We start from the raw sequence: 27,875 nt of genomic DNA, 5'->3' as shown, positions 1-27,875 counted from the left end.
AGTATGTGTTAGTTATCTTGGGCACTACCTGCTTCAGGAACCCCCACAGAATTATGGGCCTGAATTTCATCCTTTCATGAGGTTTGGGGACAAGTATGTGGGTGGAGAAGTCTTGCCATTTGAAATCAAAGGAACTTCCAGATTCATAAGCCACTTAAACTCTCAGTTTTTTCATTTATAAAAGTGAGAATAATTCCATTGGCACCATAAGGTTGTTGAAATGGCTGATGCACAAAAGGTATGTGAAAATGATTTTTGAACTGCCAGGCACTCTCTGGAATTAGCTATATGGATTGATGATGCCAATACACATTATGGACCACAGGCATGCTGGGGGATGTGGGGAGACTGTGTAACCTGCGTATCCTGTGTCCTCTTCTATATTCTGAGCACCAAGCCCAGGCAGATAATGGCCATTCACTGAGTCTTTGCTGAGTAATTTTAACTAATATTGGGTAAGTGTTCACTCATGCATGCATCACAAGCACCTTGTGAGGTGAGTATGTGCCTCTTTTTGGATGCAACCTGAGAGGTTAAGGAGCTTCCTCACATCACATAGTTAGAAATGGTATGCTCAAGGCTCTTCTTTAAAATGGCATGGTATTAATACTTGCATGTAACCTATGCACTTTTCTTGTGCACTTTAAAATCATCTCTGGATCACTTATAACATCTAATATAATGTAAATTCTATGTAAACACCTGTTATACTGTATTTTAAAAATGTGTATTATTTTTAATTGTTATATTGTTATTTTTAATTTTCGTTCAAATATTTTCTATCCATGGTTGTGGACATGAAACCTGCAAATACAGAGAAGACATTTATGCAGCCAAAAAATACATGAAAAAATGCTCATCATCACTGGCCATCAGAGAAATGCAAATCAAAACCACTATGAGATACCATCTCACACCAGTTAGAATGGCAATCATTAAAAAGTCAGGAAACAACAGGTGCTGGAGAGGATGTGGAGAAATAGGAACACTTTTACACTGTTGGTGGGACTGTAAACTAGTTCAACCATTGTGGAAGTCAGTGTGGCGATTCCTCAGGGATCTAGAACTAGAAATACCATTTGACCCAGCCATCCCATTACTTATATACCCAAATGATTATAAATCATGCTGCTATAAAGACACATGCACACGTATGTTTATTGCGGCATTATTCACAATAGCAAAGACTTGGAACCAACCCAAATGTCCAACAATGATAGACTGGATTAAGAAAATGTGGCACATATACACCATGGAATACTATGCAGCCATAAAAAATGATGAGTTCATGTCCTTTGTAGGGACATGGATGAAATTGGAAACCATCATTCTCAGTAAACTATCGCAGGGACAGAAAACCAAACACCGCATGTTCTCATTCATAGGTGGGAATTGAACAATGAGATCACATGGTCACAGGAAGGGGAACATCACACTCTGGGGACTGTTGTGGGGTGGGGGGAGGGGGGAGGGATAGCATTGGGAGATATACCTAATGCTAGATGACGAGTTAGTGGGTGCAGCGCACCAGCATGGCACATGTATACATATGTAACTAACCTGCACAATGTGCACATGTACCCTAAAACTTAAAGTATAATAAAAAAAAAAAAAAAGAGATGACTGTACTTTTGAAATGCCCTCTGAACTCAAATGATGAAACAAGTGAAATCAAAAAATTTGTTTTTCAAGTAAAAAAAGAAATGGTTTAGCCAGCATCTGAACCCAGGCAATCTCCTCCAGAGCCTGTGTTCTAAGCACTTCACCACACAACGTCACAATCAGTTCTTCATAATGATGCTAAGGAGGGTGGGGTGAGATGACATTCTGGGAGTGCTTGCTCTGTGCCACAAGCTGTCTCAAGCTCTCTTTGTGCCTTAACTCACAAAAACCCTGTAGAGGGAAATGATGATCATCCTCTTTTAACAAGAAAGGAAATGGAGACTTGAGACTGGCCCTGGTGTTAGGTTTCTTCTTTCCAAAGTACAAATTTCTTCTATTGCTTCTCTCTTTGTACCGTTTGTGCACCCAACTTGTCAATCCACCAATCAGTGAGCATTTGTGAAGTGTCCAAATGCCCAGTGTAGTGCTTCTAAACACAGAAGGATGAGATGACAGTGTCTGCCCTCGAGATGCTCAAAATCAAATAGGAAAGAATAGGCCAGTCTTCACAAAACAGAAAAAAAAGGCTAATATACAGTTAAGAGCTTGTTTATGATACATAAAGTAATCATTTTCCATATTTAGAAGGTTAATGGGAATGAGGTCATCACACAAGAATTCTCATGGGGGCCTGAAGAAATTTTGTGTTGCTAGACTGAGACTTCAACAATTTCTCTGAGCAATTATCCTTGAACTGTTGAGTTCAGCATCCCTGCATTGCAGTTTCCTTTAAGTTTGTTACAGTTACCCTGATTATAAGGAGATAGTGACCTGTTATCCTGTTTTTTTCTGTGTTGTTAACTTCTTATCCCTGGTACTGAGAATAGCGTCTACAATTCAGTAGGTGCTCAAGTTTACATGTGACCAAATGTTTATAAAAAGGAGAATAATAATGTGGTGAAAGAAGGACAGGAGTGTTCAGCCAAATTTTGGATTGGATGAGAAGGCAGATTGTCAGGGATATCATGACCCAAACAAAGGTGGAGAGACACCAGATTAGGGAGGAGCCAGGTTCTCCAGAGAGGACCTGAGTTCAGAAGGAGCACAGGAGCAGAGCCTTTGTTATTTAGGATGCAAACTCTCCCACTCCCATACACTGAAGTGTGGTGCTGTCTTGGCAGCTGTGTGTTGAACCTCTCTCCCTACCCCAGAGAAGAAACCTCATACGTACTTGGTGATTTTCTTTTTAAGTTTTTTATTTTTATTTATTTGTTTATGTATTTATGTATGTATGTATGTATGTATGTATGTATTTTTATTATACTTTAAGTTTTAGGGTACATGTGCACAACGTGCAGGTTAGTTACATATGTATACAAGTACTTGGTGATTTTCAAAGTTGAGAGACCAGAGTCCCTTGTCATCAATTTCATTTTCCTTGGTTTTACTTCTACTTAGAAAACCTTTGGATGCCAAACTCAAGTCTTGGTTACGCCCCATGTTTCCTTCAAAGGAAACTGCACTAGTAATTGAAAACAGAAATTGGTTCATTTATTCTAACTCACAGGACACAGGTAAGATCCCTGTCTGTGCTCCACCTTGGCTGTCTCTTTTCTAATCCCGGGAGAAAATCTGGATATAATTCTCTGCTTTGTTGATTAAATTCCTCTGGTCCTTATGCAAAATTGTGGGCTTTCATCAAAATAGGATTGTCTGATAATACCCTTTGACTCAGTAATTCCATTCCTTGGAATTTATTCTTATAAATGATCTATGAGTAGTAGAATGTTATGTGTACAAAGACATTTATTGCTGCATTAGTTAAAATGATGATAAAACTAGAAATAGCCTAAATGCCTAGTAATAGGAAAATGGTTACAGCAACAAATGATGGCATATCTACTCAGTAAAATATTCTGCAGTTTTAAAATTATAATTATGAAAACTATATAGCAATATGGGAAACGCTTACAATGTCATGTTAAGTGGGAAAAAATACAGTACTGCATTAAATTTAGGTTATGGCTGTAGCTATGCCAAAATAATGTATGTATCTGGATGAGAAACAGAAACAATTTTGAAAAATGAAGATAAAGTGATTTGCTGGGATATCAAGATTATGGGTAAAAACTTCTCTATTTCAGTGTCTGCTAAAGTTGTTATAACTTTATGCAATTCAAGGGTCTTGGCAGGCTATGAAACAAGGCTGACTGCCCCATCTGAAACTGAAAGGGTCACAATGCACTGGGTAAGATGTGAGCATGCAAGAGCTATGTCCTAAACTGCGGAAGTGCACAGACTTCTCTCTCAAGGGAAAAAGCCATGCATGGCATTCCTTCTGGCATTCTCTAGAATACCTAGGATAAAACTCTGTGCAACTCCATGTACTCAAATCCTGGGGTTAGTGGGTCCATTTAGATGCCTTCACCCATATTCTTCATTGATATTAGCATCATGTGCCCACAAGAATCCCAGTAAAGGTATCAACTTCAGAGTTCTTCATCACCAGGGAATTCTCTCACTTTCAAGGTGTTCCCGAGTAAGGTGACCTGGCTTTGCAGCTTACTAGATGTATGATTTAGGTCAAGGTACTTAACCTTGCTAAGCCTCAGCTTTCTAAAATGTAAAATGGATGTAGTAATAATGCTGCCTCCATGTAGATACTGCACATGTGTAAATAAGACAAGAAAAGTAATATTTACTATAGTAGCTTAGTAGGAAGCACTCAATAAAGGGAAGCTATTGGTAGTGTATTATTGCAAACGCCCTGATTTTTCTAAATGTCAAGGAGAAACTTGTGTTTAATGGAATAGTTTTCAACTTCATTTGATTATATCTTTGGGTCTTGTTATAGTGCCTTCTCTCTCAGTAGCTAATTAGTATCCTCTAAGTTTGAGTCTTTTCAAGCGTTCACGCTTCCATGGAAGTGTTTTCTGCACTGTGTTTAAATCACGTTAGAGAACTTAACTAAGCTTCAAGCCTAGTAGTGTGGTATGTGTAGTTATTCTGACATTCAGAGAAATGCAGAAGTTCAGGCCAGATAGAAGGCTAAGAGAAAGAGACCCCTTGGTGATGCCACAGATGACTAACCCAGATGGGGGAGATGAGAAGGCTGGGGAGCTAAGAGCCACAGCCAGACACAAGAGAGGAATTTGGTTTGAAAAGAGAGTATTAAGACATCAACAGCCTGGAAAGAGAAGTACAGGCTGATTTGTGACCTGTTGAGCACCAAGAAAAAAGATGTGGCAAAAGAAGGCACAGATGTTCTGAAAAATGCAAAGAATTTGTGATGGCTCAGAGTCCAACTGAGGGAAATGACTGCCAAAGGCAGATCTCAGTGGACCGTGGGAGCACTGGCTCGATGAGAAGACATGAGGAGGCTAGGACTTCATAACTGACCTTTACCAGAGTGTCTTCCTGACCCAGAGCAAGGAAGAGAGATGAAGAGGAGAAGATGAACAAGTCGTTTGAGAAGAAAAATAAATTAGCAAGTCTTTAGAAGTAGATTAAAATATTCCTGAACCAGCAGCCTGCTTTTTACTAAAATTCTTTTTTTTAAGTCATCTTCAATGGCTTGAACTTACAGTTCAGTTAAGAGGATGTGTGTAGCTCTGTCTACATTCTCTCATCAGAACTCCTACTACTCAGAGTCAAAAGCTTCACTTCTTTCCTTCTATCCTTATCATATGGAAGCTGCTACAATACCTTGAGGGTCATTTCATTCGTCAGCCTAAAGGTTACTAAATGTAGCTTTTATATAAACAGGCATCCAGTTAACATAGTGGAGATTACAAAGACCATACCCAGCAGGAGGTCAGTGGATTTTGATATTCTCCTTTTTCCCAAAGGGAAGAGGCTTCCCATTGGGGTTACAAAGTAGCAGGTACTTGGCTGGAAGGCTGAGAAGAGAGAATGGAGGCTGCCCTGTTGAAAGACTGTGTATCAGAAAGGAATGTTTAAATCCTGAACTTAGGCCCTCACTTCTGCTTGAGCAGAGCAGAGCTACTTATGCCTAAGTATTGGCATAAGTGATGCCTCCACACAGCTTTCTCAAACCCAGATGTGAGACAAAGAGAGCAGACAGAAGGCAAGTGTCCAGGGAAATAAAATGGCCCACAAGCAGTTATCCTGGCCCAGTGTCCCTGCACCAAAGGAGCTTCCCCAGCTGTGTGTCACATTAGGTCTCACATTGCGTATTCTCAAGGAGGCCAACTAATTCTGTAACCATGGATAGGTCCTGTGATAAATTGGAAAATGACTTCTGGGGCAACAGTCTCTAGTTCTCAGAAAGGAAATTCACAGAAGTGAGCGGTTGGCCAGAAGGCCAAAAGGCCATTGCCTCAGAGTGGATCCCAAAGCAGAGTGATGTGGCCATTCACAGCATGTTTGAGTATGTAAGAAAAAAGAAAAATAAGAAAGGGTATGATTTCTCCTGCCAATATCATAAGCTGAGAATATTTTTCTTTGCTGAATTCAGTAAAATAAATCAGAGATTTTTCTCGATGGATAATTACATTTGTTAAAAAGCATTTAAGGAGGTTTGGGAATCTGGGCATGATGTTGGTCCCAGATGAAATAAAGATGAGAACATGATTTAGCTTGGAGACAAACTGTAACTTAAACCACACCTCTCTTTTTCTTTTTCCTTATTCATAGTTCATTTCTTCAATTCAGAAAAATAGTTTTCATGGGGGAGGGGATTGGGAGGAGTGCAATGGCTAAAAAACAGGCTCAGTGAAGGCCAGAAGATTACTAAGAAACCTCTTCAGTTGACCTTGAGTTTGCTGCAATATCCAAAGATATATGGCATTCTAAAATACAATAATTTAAGGAAGGCATTTACAGTTTCATGGTCATGTTTAAGCAATAATATATTAAGAATAAAAGGGAAAGAAATAATAGCAGCAAAATCCTGCAGAAAGAAAAGAAATAATGGTCTGATGAGTCCAGATTTTATCTGAAATTCCTGAAATAATGTTATCACACCCTAAATGAACCATTCAGCCTCAGTCTGCATACTTGCTTGGTATTTTGAAAAAAAATAATATAATACCACAACATGCTTGAGCACTCTTCGTATAGACTTTTAAATTTTACTGAACTTAGCAGTAATTTATTTTACCAAAAAAAGAGGATGGCATTTGAAAAACTATGTTTAATCTTTATCTTCTGATTTTATATTCTGGGCAGATGTTGGGTACCAATGGCATAGATGATGTCCTGTCTGGAAGCCCATTCATACTATCAGAGATAACATGTAGTTACGGCTAGACATTTCCAAGGAAACTATGCATCTGTCCACCTGAAAATAAGTGAATATCACACAGAGAACTCATGTAGCATTGACAGACACCAAGGAAATTAGTGAAAGAAAACATTGGCCTATGTTAAACACTAGGAAATAAAGCAATCTTGTCAACAATATTAACAGTCCTCCTGGGGCCGAAAGAGTCATTTGTTTACCTTATGAAGATGCGGCTTTGTGAAGAATAAAAGTAAAAGGCCATGCCCAAGGATTATTAGAAAGACTCTTCTCATACTAATTCTCATTTCTGAGTGCCCACAGAAGTGAGGGCCATCTCTCTTTCCTTAGGACTCCGGTTTTCAAAATGTAGTTTGATTCTATCACCTGCTTCAAATGACTCTCTAAAGGGCTCTTTGTGCCCTACCTTGAGCTGGCTTCTGCAATCCATATGGATGGGCTTGTCTCCTTCCCCTAATCAAGCCCAACTCCAAATTAGACATTTTCCTTCATCAGACTCAACACTGATCCCTGCTTTCCTTAAATTCAGCTTATACATCTTGTTTACATCCAAAATTAAATCTAAAAAAGAGAAAACTCTTGGTTTTCTCATCAAACTTCTCTTCACTACTATACTCCCCTATTATTAGCTAGAAACATTAATATGCCATATATATATATACACATTATTGATTACAAAGTGGGTCGTTCATGACCATCTGGATATTTAGGGTCATCTTTTTAGAAGGGGTGCTTGATATTATCTAGCACATTTGGTTGTTTACATGAGAAACTGAATCTCAGAGAATTTGGGTGACTTGTGCATCCACACAGAGGATTTGGGGCTGTAATCCAATGTTGTTTTCAATATACCATATTGCCTTGTTTTTATTCCCTCTCTGCATATGGCACTGTGCTAGGTGCTATAGAAACATTCCCCAGGACCTCTCAATCCAAGAACAACACTGTTGATACACCAGCATGAAAGGGACATCACACACAACCCAACTGGCACTCAAGTCTGCACCATGCAGTTATTTATATCATGTAACACCAAACCATCTCCTCCCACTCGCCCTCCCTCCTTCCCTCTCTCCTGTGTTCAATCTGTCGCTGACTCTGGCTGCTCCCTTCTCTGCGACAGTGCCAAGAGCTGTTTCTGCTGCTGTAGAGGCTGTCTTCCAACAGTTTACTCCCTGATGCAGGCCCGGATGCCTCTCTTTAAGGAGCGTCCACCTCCCAACACTCTCCCTCCAGACACGCCAGACTGCCCTGGCAGCCGCCACCCCTTCACCTGCCATCCTGGCCATGTCACTCCCACCCCTGGGACAAGGTCCAGATGTGCCCTGAGCAAAAAACAGGTCCCTGAGTGAGGAGACTAATGGGGTGCAGGGCCCCTGAGAACAGAGGGCAGGTGCCAAGTTACAAAGAAAAAAAGAAATGAAAGACTTTAGAGAGAAACTAAAAATAAAGAGAATGTGTTTTAATATCCCTTTGGCTGATTCATCTTTCTGTGGCACCAGAAAGAGGGCGTTACCCTCGACTCACGAATGCCTTATGTTTTGTTACAAGGCCTCTCTTCCCACATCTGAAAGAGTAAAATAACAATAAGAGTGTAAGTACAGGAGATAATGCTGGTGGCATAGCTACAATCTCCAAGCTGGAGCCAGTCTCAGCTTACAGTTGTGTCAGTCTTTCTAAAAAAAAGAAAAAAAAATGAGACAGCTAAGGCCCACGTATGCGATTCCTCAACATCCCTTCTTATTCTTTCTCTGGCAGTTTTCATCTTATTCAGGCATGGGTCCAAGATGGAGTAGTGATTAAGCGGCCTGGTGACACTGTATACTGGGTAACTGCTTATTCCCAAAGCATGGCTGGCAGGAGAGGGAGCCCTGGTTTTCAGTCATTCCAGGGAGGAAATGAAATGCTAATACCTAGCCTACCGTAAACTCCACAGTGGCATAAGCCTTGCTCAAAAGTACATCAGTGAATAAAAAGAATGTCAAAGGCTGTCAGTAGCAGAAGAGGAAAGGAAATAGGAAAAGAAGAGAACAGAATGAGATGAGACATGAAGTAGAGAGAGATGAGAGAAATACTATGCTGGGTGAAAGTGATTGGGAAACCATTTCTGACCATGTATTTCACCACACTCATCCCAGGCCTTGCAGCATTGTTTTGAAATAAGAAGCATTGATATTAATACCAAAAAGCCAATGATTTTAACCAGTGGATTATTTGGGACAAATCAAAGGTAACAAGGGGTCAAGATAAGCCCATACGCCTTATTTGACTTGATTGAAAGATTCATTCTCATAGTGTCTATTCTAGATTAAAACTATTCAGACCAGTCTATACAACATAAAGTTTGGACATTCTTTCAAGAGAACAGCCTTTCATTTACTTTAGTGAATAACAATATCTAGAAAGGCCATCTGCTTCGACCAAACTTTGGAAAGGATGCATTTTTAAGATTAATGGAGGAAGAGGATACCTGCCCAACTAGCTATGTTAACCAATTCAACACCATAATAATAATTGTCAACATTTATATAGTTTACCATATACCAGCCATTGTGCAAAACACTTTGCATACATTCTCACTTAATCTTCATGCCAGTCCTGGGAGGTACTCTTATATATCCTTTTTACATATGAGGACCTGAATCTTAGAAGGTTGAGTCCTTTGCCAAATGAAAGCTTAACAGTAAAGAAACAGTAGAATCCAGACTGTCTGGTTCCAAAACTTGTGCTTTTAGCCACTTCACATATTGCTTCTGTCATTGGTATGACAGATGTCACAGGCAGATCATACTCAAATTCTGTAATATGTTCTAAATAATACAAACAATATAACTAGAAAATGGTAGCTAACTTATATAGCAGGCCCCACTGAAATAATTCAAACATAAAAATGACCTCTTGGCATTTGATTATCTTTCACCTTAGACGTTGATAAACCAAACCATTCCCTTAGGACAATATTTTTCTGTCCAGCAAAGCATTTCTCTTGCCAAAGTATAATTTTGTTGGCTACATCTATCTCCTCCAAGCCCTGGAATCAGACCTAAGCTAGTAAATTGTGCTGTCCTGGCAAGACACTCATCCTCCAGGGCATTGTATCAGGCTAAAGTAATACATCATGTTGCTTCCCACTCTGTCTGCCCATTTCTCCAAAGAGTCCTAAAACAGTAATGTTTCTGCTTTGAATCTCTTGCTGTTATCGCCCCTAGGACTTGCACTTTAGCTTCCTGGCCTTGGAAACCAAGGTGAGCTGAATAGCATTCTTTTCACACCTGCTCTTGACTTGGGCTTCCAAAAGAAAGGAGGCTTTCAACAAAGGGGCAGCCCCATAGAACTCTGCTTCATTCCTTTTAGACTCAGAGAAACAAAAACATTGACTTGATTGGGTAACGGAAGACTTTGGTCTTTTGGGTTATGGGGATTTAGTAGCTGAGAAAGAGTTGCTGAGTAGTGAGGGTGGGGGCAGGTCGTAGAGGGCCATAATTCCTAGAAAAAGATGACCTTGTCCAATTGAGAGGTAGTGAGACCAGCAAACACTGGCAATTAAAAATTAACACAGGCCAAAAGTGAAATCGATGCCTAAATTTGATAGGTTTTCAAGAAAAGTTTATGACATGCAGTTCATAGAAAAGAGAACATTTTCTCAGTGTTCACTTTTAAGATGCCAAAGGTCAATCTTACTTGGAAAGATCCTTCCACAGAAAAGCAGAAATGTACAGGGTCTCCTAGCAAAGTATAAGGCAGGCAATAGATATATTAGAAAATCTTTTTTAAAAATCCTAATTTCAAAATGTTTTACAGCAGCTTTGGTACTACAGTAATTCACTTAATTCCCTAATATGTGTTTGAGTATATGTGTGTACATACTCATGTTATTCTAAACATAAAAAGATGTGGCCAGTTGACAGTAGTAAAAGCTTCTTTCCATATCTTTACTAAGCACATGACAATGTATAACTCAATAATTGCTTTAATTCAAGTTGTGATTTCAATAGACAAAAATTTAAAGGCAAAATATTGACTCTCAAAAGGTTTTCAAGTAAATGCAAATCCTATGAATTCTGGAAATATCAACCATTCAATGTATTACATTGGGGTCTTGGTAATAATATAATCACAATTTTCCTTATATTAGAAATTTATGAAAGGACTCAAGTCTTCCTTATAAAGCCATCAGAGATGTAGGAAATATTGGGAGGTGATTCTCCCTTTTCCACAAATGAAAATAGTAATTAAAATGCTAAAATGAAGACTACTTTAAGATTATTCATATCTTATACAATTTTCCTACTAGTATCTCATGCAAAATAATGCAAACCAAATGAATTTATATTAAATAAGGCGGCCCAGGGAGAAAATCTTGCCCTAAAAAACTAACCGTTCCAAGTTATTCTAAATTGGCAATGTGTCTGGAGTTCTGAAATAAATAACTGGTGTGAAAAACCTAAGTTTCCAGATTCTTCAGATCTTAACTGTAATATTTGGTTGTGTAATCAATCCTTAGTTAATCTAAGTGAAATGCAGGTTCATTTTTATTAGCTAATAATTTCATTTGTGTTTTTTATCAGACATATAATTGAACATTTTCTAGAAATAGCCCTTAAAATCCAGGTTAATTGTCTTACCTCTTTTTTCCTCCTTTCAAAAAAAAAAAAAAAGGGATCAACTTTGGAACCTCTTCCTGTTAGCAAATTTCTAAAGAATAGTTTTATTCCTTAGAACTCAAAGAATAACAAATGTATATCTTAAGAACTAGTTGCTTCCCAACTTGAAAACGTTTGCGTTTTTTTATTATTTAAATACTGACTCTTCAAATCAATGTCTTCCCTTTCCAATGATAGAGTTGAAATAGTTAAAATAAAACTTTCTCAAGAAGCAAGATGGGAAGTTTCAAAGGAAATTAAAGCTGAATGCATTGTTCCAACTGCATTCCCAGAAATCTATAAGAAACACAAACTTATGCAGCATCAGTAGAGGAGGTAGTACCATTTTTGCCAGTGATGAACAACCAGAGTCCTTTGTTCTAGAAGTGATGACCCCGGTTAAATCTCAGCATTACACATTTCCCTTCAGAGATGGAGGGGAGCGAGTTGCTTGCATCCATTACAAAATGTGAGACTCAGCTAATTGGTGTGGTTTTGATGATGCCACAGTTCTGCCCAAAACCCTTGTAACTAGCAAGTTTGCCCTGAAGATTATTGAATTACTCCCCGACCATGCATTATTTAAAGGGAAGTGCTGTTATTATAGAAGCCAGCTGTTTAACCATTGGAATTCTGTCTGTTGGCCAACTTTTAAGATACAGCAGTACATTGTGACTAAACATTATGTCTAGTCATGGAGGAGTCAAAGTCTAGGATAGGTGGTGGCCAACTTGTCTGGTAAGCAATCTTTGGTCTACATGCTATGAAACCTTTGAAGCAAAACTGACAAAATAAATATATAAATTTTTAATGTCAAGACTTTGTCAGCAAGAAAAATTATGTGGAATGTTATACATGCCTATTCATTCTAACAGTTGAGTAAGTGCATGAACACTTCCTCATGCCAGTACAACAGAACTGTTGGACCACACCTTGCTGTAGAAGGGACTATACCAGGCACCGGTCTTTTTTTTTTTTTTTTTTTTTTTTTTTTTCGTAGCATCGAGTAAGGACAATTAAAAAGTGTTTAGAGCATCTTGGGGAACTTCAAATAGATAGAAAACAACTTTTCACCTTCTAAGTTAGAATATATTTGCACCTCTTCCTTGAAGTGGTTTCCAACCATACTGAATATTGGGCCCAAGCCAGTTTTCTCCTTCATCTCTTCACTTGTTATAGAATGTCTGGAATAGAAAAGACCATAGCAGTCATCCACTGTGTTCAACATAGGAATCTTCTGCTAGGATCTCTGACAGATGTTTATTACAGCCTTTACTTAACTGTTTCCTGCAATGGGGAGTTCATTACTTTTCATTGAAATCTGTCCCATATGTAACACTTGTAAATTCAAATTGTTAGGAATGCTTTTCTTATATTAAGCCAATATTTGTTTTTCATTCACCTACCAGCTCTGATTCTGCCCACTGGGACAGAATTATACAGCACCTAATGAAGAGTTTCTCAAGGCAAAGATAAAACAATTAGTTCCATCTCATTTAAAAATTAGTCGAAATGACAATAGTTATAATTTAGAAGTCATTAAAAATAACTATCTCAAATAGGAAAATGTCAAATACTGAAGCCAATTGTTTTATTAGCTTTCTAATAAATTACATTGTATCAGGCCTCTACCTGTAGACCATAGCAGCAAATATCTTTATTGTGGTTCTGGAAAAATAAACAATATGTAGCATTTGAAGATATGGAACAAAACTTTGACCCTCAACTGTGATCTTTCAATTGGCGAGAAATGAGTTTTTTGTTTGTTAAATATTTTGATGTAGAGCCAGAAGAAATCAAGCTTACAGGGCACTTCAAAAGATGAATTAAACTTCAAAAGGCAATAGGTAAACACTTGTTATATTCATATATTCCCAATGACGTACAATGAGTCCATTGTAGACATTATGAGTAGACAAAGAAAAACATCTCTCTAGGATTGTGGTAGCTAGAGATAATTGGTAATTATATTTATGGCAAAATCGAAGTCTGTATACCACTATTTCAACAATATTTTTTAAAAAAACAAATGTAGACATAAGATAAACTTTCTCTATGGAACATTGCAGAAAAGTCCTAAAATTCTCTGTACCTAAACCCATCGATCTACAGACTAAAAAGCATGAGCTCAGAGTTTAGATGAGCTTAGAGTTTGACTGAGTCATGTCAAATTCTGAGCTCATTTAAGCAAGGTGATAAACCAGATGCCTGGTATTTCCTGTTATTTTTTTTGCTGTGATGATGATGACTTTCTATTTTACAAGAGGAAATCGACATGTGGTGAGTTTCATGGTTGTTTACAGTCACCAAGAAGTGAATATACAATCATAGAAACTCTCTCTGCCATCCCAAGATGAAGGTTAATGTCTTCCTCTTATAGCAGACAAGGAGCTCCAGCACCTGTGGGACCTCAGAAGCAGAATTAAGTTAGAGGAGCTTGAAAGGGAAATACTAAATAGGTCCTGGAATCCCAAAGCCTGCCCTTGTCTATCTTCAAAGGCTAACCATGAATTTTGAAATCAGTTGTTTCTGAGTTGGCTAACTTTGAAAGTTTCTGGAGCTCTTCCTACCAGCCCACCCCCAAACATCAAGTTACCATTTCATAATCAACAAATGAATCCCAATTACATCCCATTAGGAAATTTATAGTTTCAACAAAGGGCAATCATTACCTGTAATGGGCAAAAGATACAATGATCACAAAATAGGCCAAGTCACCTTTTCCTTCCTCCCCACCCACAAGAGAGAAGCCAAAGGGTATCAGCTGTGCTTTACTGGCTAGCCACTTAGCAAAAAGTACGTAGAAGTCCTTTGTGGATTACAAAGGACAGTGTAAGCCCATTTGTGTCTTTCCTCTAATTTATAGTTCCAGGAAAAGATTATAAAAACAAAAAAACAAAAAAATATTGTTTACATTGCTCAGGGGACCCGCTGAGACATGGCTTGCCAGGTCCCAGTCCCTCCCAAATGCCACAGCCATTGGGAGTCCACAGGGTCTGCTTCGAGATCTGCACAGCAGACTCTGCCCAGAAAGACCACAAATGAACCCTCACTGAGTTACTACCTCCAGCTGCCCTAAGAATGACAATAAACCTGCCTTACAGAAGGAAGCAGCCACCAGGGTCCTGTGCCAAGCATCAGGAAAGCATTTGGGTTCTTAGAGGTTGCCATGAATGCTGGCCCTTCCAGCAGGGAGGCAGCCAAACTGGTTTGGTAGCAGGCCATTACCATGGGCCTGATCTCCCCCAATGAGGGAGTGCAAAATACATGAGGATTCTGACTTTCCAAACCCTATCCTCAAGTAATGGTGTCATTATTACAGAAACATAGACTTGTGATTTAAAACGTAATGTTTTCTTCTGTCAGGAATTAAGATTGAATACATGTCAGATTAATAAATTGGATTCTTCTGTGCCCGTGATTTATAAAATTTCTTCCATAAAGCCTGAGCATCCGTGGAGAAGACCAGGAGAGATAAGGGAGGAGAAGAGAAAGCAAGTTTCTGTCCCTCTGCCCTTGCCTGAGCTAGAACAGAATCACATGAAAGATGGACATTTCGTTCACTGTTTCAGTTTGGCAGTTACTCAATAAGAAATAGAATTCATTGTTCTGGCCTCTTGGGGTGGTAAGAGAGGGAGCCCTACTAGATTGGTATTGTAATTAGTTTCAAGTCCCAAGACTTCTGTACACGGTCAATAGTGACAATGCTTCTTCACAAACCACATAGGATCCTGGAAACGGTACTCGCAGAAAGCTGGCTATGATTTACTTACGACTTACACTATATGTCAGGTGCTGTGCTATGCATTATTCATACTTGATTTCATTTAATCCTCAAACAATTCTTACAAGGAAGATATTATTAACTCCATTACATAAATGGGAAAACTGAGGCCCAGAGAGCTTAGTGACTTTTCCAGAGTCATACAACAGTTCTCCTGGGCTCCTCAATGAGGCACTTGGGCTTTGCAGCAAGTAGATCTGAGTTTGCATCTTGACTCCACGACTTACTGCATGAATGACCTTCAGCAAGTCTTTGCCACCTCTGAGTCTCAGTTTTCACATTAGTAAAATGAGGAGCCCTTTCCAAACTTAAAAACTCTTTGATGTTCAACCTGACTATATAGTCAAAGCAGTTAAACAAAAAGGCAAACATGTGAGCTGTCCTGCTTATAAAAGCAATGCAGCGTTGCCAACAAGATTAAGAAAACAATGCATGATCTTATTTTAATATTTCTATCATCCTCTGAAGCCAATATATAAGAAAAGACTAGGATTGGGCATAGACAAGATCCTTGCCTACAGGTTGCAAAACTTGGGGAGAGTTACCACAAATAGCATGGTGAATGAGTTAGTGCTAATGAGTGTGGTACAGACTCCGGGAGACATACTGGCATTCAGAAAGATACGTGGGGTCAGGAATCATTGGGGAAGTTTCAAGAAGAGGTTGAGACATTGCAGAATATGTAGGTTGACTAGCTGTGGGGAGAGGCAGGAGCTGGGTGGAAGACTGAAGAAAGCAGATTGCACCCTAACATGAGGCCACTCTGTTTGATTTGTGCAGACAAGCCCACAGGGTATGGCTCCAGCAGTCGGAGGGCGCCTCAGACAGGCATCGTGGATGAGTGCTGCTTCCGGAGCTGTGATCTAAGGAGGCTGGAGATGTATTGCGCACCCCTCAAGCCTGCCAAGTCAGCTCGCTCTGTCCGTGCCCAGCGCCACACCGACATGCCCAAGACCCAGAAGGTAAGCCCACCTGGGTGGGATCCAGCCATCCTCAAGTGGTCTCTCTCTTGTGCATGTGGGTGGGCCAAGCAGAAATCCTGCCCCATAGTCTCCTGGCTTACAAGTCAGAAAAGCTCCTTTGCACCAAAGGGATGGATTACATCCCCATCTCTTTGGTCACTCTGCATTGCAAATTTCCCCTCCCACCGCTATGGACGATGTGATGATTGGAAGATGTTACAAAACAGTGGCTAAACAAACATGGGCTTTGGTGTCAGACAAAAGTGAAGTCCTGGCTTTCTCACACACCAGCTTAGAGCCCTTGGCAAATAATGTGATGTACCCAAGCCTCAGTTTCATCAGTAACATTGGGATAATAATAATATCTACCACATCAGTTTGTTGTCAAAATTAAGTAGCTCATGCATATACTTTGAGATGCTTTTCACATGCCTGCATAAAGTAATTGTTGGACCATCGTTAATGTCTGCCATAATTGCACTTAATAACAAAGCTTGTAACCTTTCAAGTTCTGAGATTCTACAATCTTCCAAAGAAAATAAAAGGCTAATGGGAACTATTCAAAATTCATATTCAGTAGCAAGCATAATTAAACATGAAACATTAAAAATAGAAATTTCTGTTTGGCTATAAGAATGCCTAGACATTTGTAATGATCAAAATCTGCAGGCATCATTTTCTAAGAGCTAGACTGTAAACAAACCTCAGAGGTACCAACTATGCCATCAGTAGTACATAAAACATCTGATGCACATTTAGTCACTTGATCGATTTCTCTTGAATGAGTGAACGAATGAACAAATGAATATAAGAGATTAAAATTTTAGCCATTAAGTAGAAAGAATAAGAACTAAAGAGAAGGTAAAGGAGGAAAAAGAGAAGGCAAGGAAGTTGAGTAAGGGAAGAAATAGCTCTCGTTTAAGTATTTTGGGGACTCTGTTGAAAAAAGAAATGCCAACATGTGGTTTTAATCTTTGGAGCTAGAACTAATAATATTGTGCAAAAGCACAAGATGAGAGATCAAGAAGTTCACCATGACACCTTCGCTGCTTCCTGGTCTTAAACCTCAGCTGAGGCTGGAAGAGGACCATGGTGGCTTATTGGAGATGTGACCCCAGGGAGCCCCTCTGAAGGATGGAAGGGGACTGGGCAAGACCCAACACACACAGAACACAGTAGCCACTGGCCAGGCAGGAAGCAAGGATCTCAGAAAAGACTTTTAGGTGAATGTGGCAGGAAAGCGTGCTTGCTGGGGCAAAGGCAGATTCATTCTTTCTCTTCCCAGGTGACCCAGCGCCTCTTGGTTTCTAACTGGGGAGGGGGTAGGTGTCAAGAGATGAGTCCCAAAGTTCTGGAATGGTGGGTCTTGTGACTGAGGTCTAGACCCCTCTCCAGCATGAGTGCTGTCTCCTGCATCATATGGAGCCTGGGCATTCTGAGCTCATTCAAAGGGACACCATGGGAACCACTTGTTCTCAATGCAATTATTTTTGTGATGTTTACAGTATCAGCCCCCATCTACCAACAAGAACACGAAGTCTCAGAGAAGGAAAGGTTGGCCAAAGACACATCCAGGAGGGGAACAGAAGGAGGGGACAGAAGCAAGTCTGCAGATCAGAGGAAAGAAGAAAGAGCAGAGGAGGGAGATTGGAAGTAGAAATGCTGAATGCAGAGGCAAAAAAGGAAAATGAAGGACAGGAGGATTAAACAGACAGAGGCAAGGATGATGAGAGAGGAGCAGACAGCAAGAATGAAAAGCAGAAAATACAATAGAGGAAATGAAGAAAAGTAGGCCTGCTGGAGCTAGATGATGATGTGATGGAAATAGAAGTAACCTTTTAGAGAATCTCGCTAAGAAACATGGAGAAAACGGAAAAGAAAAATGTAATGCCCTAGAAAGCGCAAAGAAAGACAGTGGCAAAAATGAAAAAAAAAAATAAAAATTATAAAAGAGGCAAAAAAAGACACACTATTCTCTGCCTCTAAAACACAATTAAATAAAAGAATTTAAATAAAAATTAAGGCTTCTATATGCATTTTTAAATTTTGTATGAATCTGTTATGGAAGAATTGCCTATGTCAATATATGTTCAGAGTTAAATATTAGCCCCAAATGCTCAGCAAGACTGAATTGTGTCATAGAAGTTCCCAGATTCCCTTTTCCCGCAATGTCATTGGAGGCTGCATTTCTTAGTCAAGTCCAGGGTTTAGGCCAAAGGGCATCCGGTATTGCCTAAAACCCTGTGAGGTCTGTGAGGTAACTTTTGAGAAGAGGTCACTGCACTCTTCATCTTTTTTGCACTTTGGAATCAGATATAAAAGATGTATAAGTTTGCTAGGGCTGCCATAACAAAGTATCATAGGCTAGGTAGTTTAAACCACAGAAATTGATTTTTTCATAGTTCTGGGAGTTGAAAGTCCAAAATCAAAGTATCAGCCCTTGCAAGGGCCTTAGAGAAGGCTCTGTCATGGGCTCCTCCCCTCGGCTTGTAGGTGGCCTCCTTCTTCTCCCCCTGTGTCTTCACTTCATCTTCCCTCCATACATATCTCTGTGTCTAAACATCCTCTGTGTGAAACAACACCAGCCAGGTTGGATTTGGGCCCACCCCACTGACCTCATTTTAACTTAATTATCTCTGTAAAGACTCTGTCTCCAAATACAGTCATATTTTGACGTACTGGGAGTTAGGGCTTCAACACATGAATTTGGACACAATTCAGCCAGTGACAGAAGACTTCTGATCTCTGATGATAACCACTGCATTTTGATTACAGCTCCTAGAAAACACTCCCCTCCACCACCCCACCACAGATCTATTTTTATATCTGAAACCCTGAGTTTCTGCTCCATGAGAACCCCAGGAACATACTATGTTAGATCTGGAAGAAGCCTCAGAAATCCCCTTATTTTGAAGACTAGGACACTGAGATCCAGAAGTGGGTAAAGATGTGCTTGGGTTCTAAGCTGCTCTTCTTTTGGCCAGGAGACAACAGCACATAATCAAAGTGGGTCAACTAAGAAAGAATTCCAGAAGGAAAAGAGAGGGCAGAAATGAAGGGAGAGAATGAGAGCAAAAGTGCTGGATTTCCCTGAGGGTGAAGAAAAGTTAAATAGAATCACAGAATTCAGATTTTAGAGATCTTCTCCTTCAGATCCCTTGGTTTAATCAGTAGGATTGGGGTCTTCATAGATAATAAAGCAAAAACTCTCGCCATCCTCCAAGTTGTGAATTAGAAGAGCTGAGAAAGGGTACAAGACGGAAGTTCTCTACCAAACAAATGGTGACATTTTGGGGTAAGAATATGACTAACCCAGAAGTGAAGCATTTCATCCAAGTAGTCTATTTTGAAGATGTCATGGTATAAAGGAACCTCCTTTCTGCCTGGTCCTCCATGCCTCTGCCATGCTTTTTACTCCAGGATCACCCTTTCTAGTGGTTCACTGAAAACCCAGGATTACTTAAATATGATGGACATGTTCACGGCTCAATCCAGGAGGAAAAGGTCGAACTGAAAGCATGCCAAAGCCCCACATGGGAGCCAAGCCACTGCTGCTGTGGTTGCAAAGTGGATCCTGGCTTATCAGAGCAGAGAGAAGCCAGGCTCGTGCCTTAGCCCAAGTGGCCAGTCACCTTATTCAGGAGATACTAAGTTCTCCAGCTAAGACATCCATGCTTTGGGACCAGCTGCAGACAGAAGCCAATTCCTACTACAACCATCACCTTAGAGTAGCATATAGACACAGATGGCTCTTCAAAGGACCACAGTTCCATGGAATAACTAAGAATTCATGTCCTGTGGAAAGGTTTGAATAAACTATAATTATACCCAATCATAAATTTCATTCAAGAAGAACTAAAGCAAAGGCAAAGACAGAGAGAAGAAGGAAGGAAGGAGGGAGGGAGGGAGGGAAGGAAGGAAGGAAGGAAGGAAGGAAGGAAGGAAGGAAGGAAGGAAGGAAGGAAAGGGAAGGAAGAACAAAAAGACTTTCTAGTTAAAGAATGCTTAACTAGCAAACTATGTACTATAAGACAGTTCTTTTCGGAATGAGTTTTATCAACTCTAAAGCAATTATCTTGAATGCCTACATGTGATTACTGAATAATATGAACCAAGAAAACAGAAAGAATCTATATTATCTTTCCATTTCCTTCTTTCCAGTATCAATACCCAAGCCTCTAGTGATACATGGCATATAATGTTGGATGGATGGATGGATGGATGGATGGATGGATGGATGGATGGATGGATGAATGGATGGTTGGATGGACAAATGAGTAACATAGGCTGATGAATAGTGGTAGAAAGACACACCATAAAAACAAGTGGCACTTCTGAGATGAAATGATTCCTATTCTCCTACACAAGACAGTGAGGCAAGTACAGAGTAAAAAAGGAAAGGCATAGGAGCTATGCTTATACAAGTATTGTATGTTTGGAATTTCCTTCGCTGGCCAAATTGAAATTGTTCAAGGACCTATTGCTACAGGTGGCAACTGGCTAAGAATTTCATAGTGAATATTATACACCTATTACTCCCCTTAATGTTTCTTTGAAGTAAGCAGAATATTAATAATCATTTAAAATTCCAGTGTTTCAACTTCAATTGTTTCCTAGGGCAAATTGATAATTGTGTGTAAAACTAATTGGAATATGTATGGAATAATCATCCTGAAATAAAATTGGTGAAAAGTATTTGTTATTGGGCATCTACAATGTGCAAACCTCTGTACTAGGCATGAACAAGAGTTATAAGCATTGGAGAGGCTAAAATATAGTCCTTAAGGCTGGGCACAGTGGCTCATGCCTGTAATCCTAGCACTTTGGGAGGCCAAGGCGGGCAGATTGCCTGAGCTCAGGAGTTCAAGACCAGCCTGGGCAACATAGCGAAACCCCATCTCTACTAAAAATACAAAAAAATTACCTGGGCATGGTGGCACGCACCTGTAATCCCAGCTACTCAGGAGGCTGAGGCATGAGAATTCCTTGAACCTGGGAGGCAGAGGTTGCAGCGAGCCGAGATCCTGCCGCTGCATCCCAGCTTGGGTGACAGAGTGAGACTCTGTCTCAAAAAAAAATTAAATAATAAATAAATAGTAAAATACAGTCATTAAGAGTACAAAATGTAGATTCAGACTACCTGGGTTCAAATCTTGGCTCTTACTTGCATTGTGGCTTTGGGCAGATCATGTAACTTATGTGTGCCTCAGTTTCCTCATCTGTTAAATAGGGGCAACAACTGAATCTACCTTATTCAGTTGTTGTGAGGGTTTATTGAGATTGTGTGTGTGTATGTGTGTGAGTGTAGTGTGTGCATGTGTGTGTCTGTGCAAGGAGTGGGAGGTGTATATTCAGAGACACATATTACAGCACTTAAAATGGTATCTAGCACTTAGTAAGCATTATTCAAGTTTTAGTTAACATTATTTTACTTACCTCTGAAAATTGGAGCTATGTGAAAAAGAAGTTGGTCTCCTGAAGTAGAAGCCAGTCTTGTGTCACCAAAAACTTCAAGCCCAAGCTTGCCAACGCTTTTCCATGATGTGGTAGTAGAGTTTCAAGCATGTGGTAGGATAAGAGAACTCAATGACCTAAGAACCATTCCAACCCAGAGAACCCCTGGTTCTATGAATAATTCCAACTTAAATAGGTAGCTTGGCTCTCCCAAGTGAGAGCCATTGCTTCTGTTTCCGGGTCATATAATGAACTTTCAGAAAACCACCATTTTTCTCAACCAGTTAAAATTAAGTGTAATACGTGCTTTCATTTCATGGTGCCTGGGGAAAATTTAATTGTAGTATGAACTCCAGTTATTGGTAGTCTTAAGTAAAATTGCCAAAATAAATAGAAATGCAGGATATTTCTGGGCTCACACAGCTTCCGGGACACTTTAGTTTCTTGGGCTGCCAATCCAGTGCCTTTCACAAGCATTTGATCTTTTTTCAAACATCTCTTGAAAACAAACAAAACCTCACACAGCTTCTAATGTGTGCACTGTTCGAATGTAAGGGTGGAAAAGGAGGCAAAGAAATGAGCTCCCAAAGAGCAATTCCCCTTCTCTCGCCTCCATCCCTTGACGACCTCCCTCCCACTAAAGGGAAACATTGTTTTCTTAGGTAATAAATTCTGCAATTTCTCAAGTCCATTAACATCCACTGGGCAAGATGAGATCTATTCTTTTTATTTGCCCATAGGAAAAGAATAGTGCTTTTTTGCAATATTCACTAGATAACACAGAGTTGACTTTTAATCCAAGGGCAACATTGATAGTCTCTAGTTAAAGGGGAAGCCTTCAGGAGCAATGAAAAGATTAATAGTTTTAGATGAAGCAGAATCCAAATCCCTTTTTATGAGTTTTGAAATATCCAGTTTGTATGCTCACCTCAATACTTAAAGCCCAGTTACTGATTCCTTTGGCCTAAGCAAGACAGGTCAATTTTTAAAGAGGGAGTAGCTGAGGTTAGCAAAAATTCTCCAGGTCCACAAAACTTCCAGACCTGCAAGGTGAAAATCAGCTTTTCTGTCATCCCTAAAGGCCTAACTGGAATCAGAACTTTTCCCTGATGCCCACATATTTGGAGGTCCTTTTTTAATGGGACTCCTTAATGCCTTTAGTGCCATCCCATTTTCATCCAGTGTCCAAAAGAAATGATTTAAAAATATAAACGTATGTTTAAATTCCAGAAGAGAGAAATGGAGATTGAGAACAATAGGGAAATGATGAGAGCTATGGGAAAAGAGGTTTATGAGTCCATGTCTGATTCTTCCAGAGAGCCCCTAAGAAAGTTCTTATCATACCAGGAACTCAATTATAACTTTCATTGCCTATTGTTAGATGAGTAACAGGAGCTAGAAAACATTTTGGAAATTCCCATCTTTATTTTTTTAACTAATATGATTATAGTTTTAAGAACCATTGGTCAAGAAGCTAACTTTTTAAAAAGTGGAAGTATGATGGTTAGAAATAAGAATGCTAAAGGTGCATCAAGCTGATTTTAATTCTAAATGTCCTTGGCAGCAATTTAGAATCTGTAATAAACTACACCAAACAGTTTTGAGGGGAAGGGGATTAGTTTCTCCCCTTCCTTCGTGTGTGTGTGTGCGCGTGTGTGTGTGTGCACCTTTGTGTTCTAGCATTGTTGCACCCATTACAGAGCTGGGGGGAACTATTTTCCAAAATTATAGGTGAGAACAGTTTCTTGGATTGTCTTTCAGTGAAGGTAAATTCCTCTGTAAAAACTAACCATCATTCAGTAAAAACTGCAGGATTCCTTTGTCTTCTCAAAAGCCTGTTTCTCATCCTAAATTAAAAATTATTCAGGAAATAGAGAGGACATTATTGGAGGGGTGGAAATAAGTTGGTTTTCTTTTTATTGTATCTTTTGAGGATCCAGGGACTTCTACCATTTCCCATCTAACATACAGAGAAGGATTCTCTAGGTCCCTGTCTATAGACTGCAGTAACTTTCCTATAGAACCAATTTGCAATTTTAGAAATTTCTAGGTCTAATTATTGACCCATTACAACCAAAGGTCAATGCATCCAGCCAATCTTCCTTCTATCATCCCCTGCCCTTACTTCTATTAGGGACTGGGATTACAGGCAAAACCCATCAAATGCCTCTTCTACCACTTTCCCATTTCTTAACCATTAGCCTCTAACTTCCTCTATTCAGTTTCTCATATGCTTTCATGCCCATTGGGTCAGATAAAGGAACATTCATTTATTTGAGTAGGCATCTGTTATGATCACTCCGGAAAAAAGATGACAATGGGTTACCTTGTCCTCCTGGGCTTCTCTAACTGACATGGTCAAAATGCCCATATGAAGATAAGATGTTAAGAGCAAGATTTATGAAAAGCTGAGTATGATGGCAGCTCTTGTCTCATAAAATAACTCGAAAGTTCCCAGTGAAAGACCAAGAAATTTTACATCAAACCCAAACCGGCCAAATGGTCCAAGCTTCCAAGCTGGGATCCATGGCTAAAGTTTCTACAAAATTCTGGGTACAATGTATAAACATTCACTTGGGGCTTTCTGTCTAGCCAGCACCAAGAGGTCAAGTAATCAAGGACCAACTAGCCCTGCCATCTGTGAAAATATGTGCTATTTTCACGGCTTTAGTTCACAATTATGGCAAGACAAAAGTTCCAAATAATTAGGAGCAAGACCATGGCAGGTTGACGGTTGAGTAAGGTTCTCAATCAGCCGACAATTGTAGAGTTGGGGATGTGCAATGTTTATGTCATGGTGTAAGTATGTGGCATGCTTGACTAGCTTGTGAGGCACTGGAAGACTAGAAGGAATGAAAAATATGAATGAATCAATAAATGCATAGTATAATTACTGTTATTTTGTCAGTATTGTTTTACCTAGGTCACTATTGAATGCTCTGATTTGTCTCTTTATAAATAATAATATGTTTTCTTCTTCAAAAGAACACTAGGATGAAGGTAGAGGTGCTTTTGGCACAATGCCACAATTCTGATTTTTTTAAAACTGTATGCATGCATAAAATGTTCTTGAGCCATTCTCTGCCTTGGAATAGCACTGGCTGGCATTCTGCATGTTTACTTTTATATGCTGAAGGCCCCCATCAACCTCAAACAGAGGCAAATCAATTTAACTTCTCATAGTGTTATTTTGTTCATCCTAAAAGTTCAAGAGAGCCTTCCAAACTTCCAAAATTTCTCTCAATTCAGTGAGGAGGAAAATTCAGAACACAGCATTTGAATGTTCTGCCCAGATTTGTCACACACACAAGGAATGAGTGAAAGAGGGCAACACCCTTTCCTCCTAACCCTGTGAACTCATCACTATTGCATTGAAATGACACCAAAAGGTAAAAACCCTAGGCCTCACATCTCCCAAGAACACTGCAATAGGAGTTACTGCATACACCAGTTTAAGTAACTCTAGCATAAATTGTATGTCAGATGAAACAATGGCATTTTGGAGGCTTAAGAGAAAAAGAATAATCAAATCCAGTTTTTAGGTACTAATGTGCTGAATCTTTAGCACATAGCAGCAAAATTGCTAGAATCTGGTGTTTCACTTTTTAAAATACCACATTTGAACCTTTCAGCAATTCCAAAATCAACTCCCTCTGCGAAAGATAATAAGCTTAAACATTTTTTAAATTTAAAAATGTAACACAAACAAACAGCTAAGCAAACAAGCTGCCCATAAAATCAACAGTCTGGGGAGCCCTGATCCTGAAGTATTTTACAACATCCTTCATGACTATTAAAGGCAACATAAACACCTCTTGTCAGCAAGGGAAACTACCCTTGGCATTTTTTTTTCTTTGTTCCCCAGGCTTTTAAACCATTTTGATAGAGATTTTTTACATCACAGGCAGAAATATTTGAAATAGAGTCAGGTGGTAGTCTTTAAAAGAGTAAGAAAGTTGCTAAGTCAAGATAATCTTGGAATAAAGTCCTCTGATTCCTGGGGATTCCTAGGGATGCCCCAGTCACTAGAAAACAGAGCTGTAAGTCCACTCTCCCAGCACTCAACGGAGCTCCGGAAACCAAGGAGCTAGCTACTGTTTCCCCACATTCAGCCAGAGAAAGGGCAGCACTCTAGCATGCAAACTGCTTTGACAATAGTAACAATTAAAAAGTAAATTAAAAAGAATCATAATAGCTGATATTGATTAGGTACTTGCCCTGTGGCAAGAGCTATAGGGAATCACCTCATTTAATCTTCACATGAAGCTTGCAGAGTGAGTACCACAATTATCACTATTGTATAGACAGGAAAACTCAGGCTGAGTATGGCTAAGTGTCTTGCCAACGTCTTGGGCTAACAAGCGGTCAAGCAGAATCCAAACCCGAGATAGATAGACCACAGTGTGCTAATCAAGCACTGCACTCTCTCCTGCATTTCTTAGTTGATATTTACCATATACAATCTGTCACTTGTATGAGATGGCAGGGGGTTCTGTGCTATTTGTCCTTGTAGAGAATACCACAGGAAGAAAGTAAGCAGCCATGCAATATTTGCTGTTGACCTGAACTCCATTCCATCATTCCTGCAGGAAATTCGCATCCATTAAATGAGCATTTCCTGGTTTGCCACTTTGCTCAAACACTTTGCTTGGATCTGGAGAGGATATAGAAGTGAAGGAAATATGCTACCTGCTCTCAAGGAACTTATGTTTTAGTGGAGAGACAAACATGCAGAATTTACTCTACAGAACATCAATGCTTGAGCAAATGTAGACCCAGAGAGGGCTCTTACAGCACACAAGCCAGAACAGACTGATGGTGCTAACAATTAGGTTCAAGGTTTTTCTAAACAGTAGACTCTCCTGCATACAACTATACCGCATGCCAGGTAAATGACTGAGGGTTATTACATCCAATTATAACACCACTGTGATGTAGGTGCTCTTACCCCACACTTTCATTTTACAGAAGAGGAAATTGAGGACAGCACAATGTAGTGATTATCAAAGGTCACACGACTACTGTGTGGGAGAGCTAGGATTTAAACCAGATGCATAAGATGAGGTCCTCCAAGAAACAGAAGATGAGAAGGTGTTAAATGAGCAGGGGTTTTATTAGGGGGAATTAATGTGTGAACAGAAATAGGGGAGGATAGGCAAAGCCATCAGATTGCAAGGCAAGCCTAACCCCAAGGGAAGGAGAGAGAGAGAGTAGATTGGTTGGAAACATTTTTGGTGGGTCTATGGTCTAAGGAAAGTTCAGCAAAGTCATCATGGAGTTTTTGAGCCAAAGTTGGGCAATACAGTTGCCCAACAAATTTCTGTGTTTCTCAGAAATAGGTCTGCCTCAATGTCCCCACCATACTTGGTCACTGGCTCTTGGGAGGGGCCTGCCCTGTTCCAATCCACTAGAGCCAAAGAAGAGCCGTTGTACTGGCAGGGGGTGGGGGAATTCCTACAACCACATAAAAAGTGGGGTGAGGTTTCCAGAAAAAAACGTGATGCTGGGCTAACCAAAACTGTGTCCAGTAAGTACATATCCCTCACTCTGTTAAAGAAGCAGCCACATAAACAAGGAGTACACGTTTCTCAAAATGTGCACCTTGTTCTTTGGTTTTGAAGTCACATCCCAAAGTGCTGAGTAGATCGCATGACCCTCGCTTTGCCTGGCTGCCAGAGAGGAAAGGCTGATCCAACTCTCCTGGAATTTGAACTTGTGATTCCCTGAAGTAAAGAGATATCAAAGTTGATACTGAGACATCTAAATCATCCTCCACCATTTCACATGTCCCCAGGCCAAGCCAGCAAAATTGCTATAGCACATCCCTTTCAACAGGTAAAGGGCTGATATCTGAGCCCTCTTTCCAATCATCCACTGCTCTTTTCTTCTCATTTTGCCCTTTTTGGGAGCAGGTCAATGCTGAGTTAGTACTTTATGCTGTACAATAAGCTGCTGATATTCCATGCTGGACAGAATTTTCCCAGTATTTTTTATAGAGTGCCAGGCTTTTCCTAGACTTCATGTCATACAATACTTAACTTGTTTGGAGTGGGTGGAGATGGAAACATAGTCTATTGAAAACATCACTGCTTCCTCCCTGAAGTTTAAAGAGCCTATTTTTATCCTTTTAGATTCTATCTCTCAGGCAAAATCTCATAAAGATAAGT

The 27,875-nt window shown here is 39.7% G+C and overlaps 1 protein-coding gene and 1 long non-coding RNA gene across 11 annotated transcripts in view, besides 2 other annotated features; one reads left to right on the top strand and one right to left on the bottom strand.

Moving 5' to 3' along the window:
- The window catches only part of LINC02456 (long intergenic non-protein coding RNA 2456), a 432,422-nt gene that overhangs the window by 276,233 nt on the left and 128,314 nt on the right, over nucleotides 1–27,875 (bottom strand). Inside the window, exons 9-10 of the long non-coding RNA XR_007063427.1 lie at nucleotides 21,691–27,431; nucleotides 12,583–12,692 (exon numbers count right to left, since the gene is read on the bottom strand). This is a non-coding gene — a long non-coding RNA (long intergenic non-protein coding RNA 2456). The remainder of the gene's footprint in view (nucleotides 1–12,582; nucleotides 12,693–21,690; nucleotides 27,432–27,875) is intronic.
- IGF1 (insulin like growth factor 1) overlaps nucleotides 1–27,875 on the top strand; it is an 85,966-nt gene that overhangs the window by 46,077 nt on the left and 12,014 nt on the right. For 4 of the 10 annotated variants that reach the window (XM_017019259.2, NM_001414005.1, NM_001111285.3 and 1 more), the window contains 2 exons: nucleotides 16,073–16,254; nucleotides 17,760–18,272. In XM_017019259.2, coding sequence (XP_016874748.1) covers nucleotides 16,073–16,254; nucleotides 17,760–17,945 — 368 coding nt within the window. In that variant the 3' untranslated portion in view covers nucleotides 17,946–18,272. Of the gene's footprint in view, nucleotides 1–16,072; nucleotides 16,255–17,759; nucleotides 18,273–27,875 lie in introns of those variants that run through there. The other 6 variants (XM_017019263.3, NM_001414007.1, NM_000618.5 and 3 more) reach the window with 2 other exon arrangements.
- Nucleotides 13,442–14,641: an enhancer, noted in NCBI's record as "P300/CBP strongly-dependent group 1 enhancer chr12:102814900-102816099 (GRCh37/hg19 assembly coordinates)". NCBI's record gives its function as "activates an origin of replication core promoter dependent on BRD2, BRD4, P300/CBP, MED14 and CDK7 cofactors, with strong dependence on P300/CBP, by STARR-seq in HCT116 cells {active_cell/tissue: HCT116}" and the evidence as "EXISTENCE:reporter gene assay evidence [ECO:0000049][PMID:35650434]".
- Nucleotides 15,825–15,994: an enhancer, noted in NCBI's record as "experimental_23056 CRE fragment used in MPRA reporter constructs". NCBI's record gives its function as "activates a minimal promoter by MPRAs in K562 erythroleukemia cells, with activity observed for both the introgressed and non-introgressed 12:102813632 variant alleles {active_cell/tissue: K562}" and the evidence as "EXISTENCE:reporter gene assay evidence [ECO:0000049][PMID:34662402]".

This window comes from Homo sapiens, chromosome 12 (assembly GCF_000001405.40).
Source record: "Homo sapiens chromosome 12, GRCh38.p14 Primary Assembly".
Lineage (NCBI taxonomy): Eukaryota > Metazoa > Chordata > Mammalia > Primates > Hominidae > Homo > Homo sapiens.
Note: the sequence above shows the minus strand (reverse complement) of the source record. Positions and strands in the feature narration are given on the sequence as shown.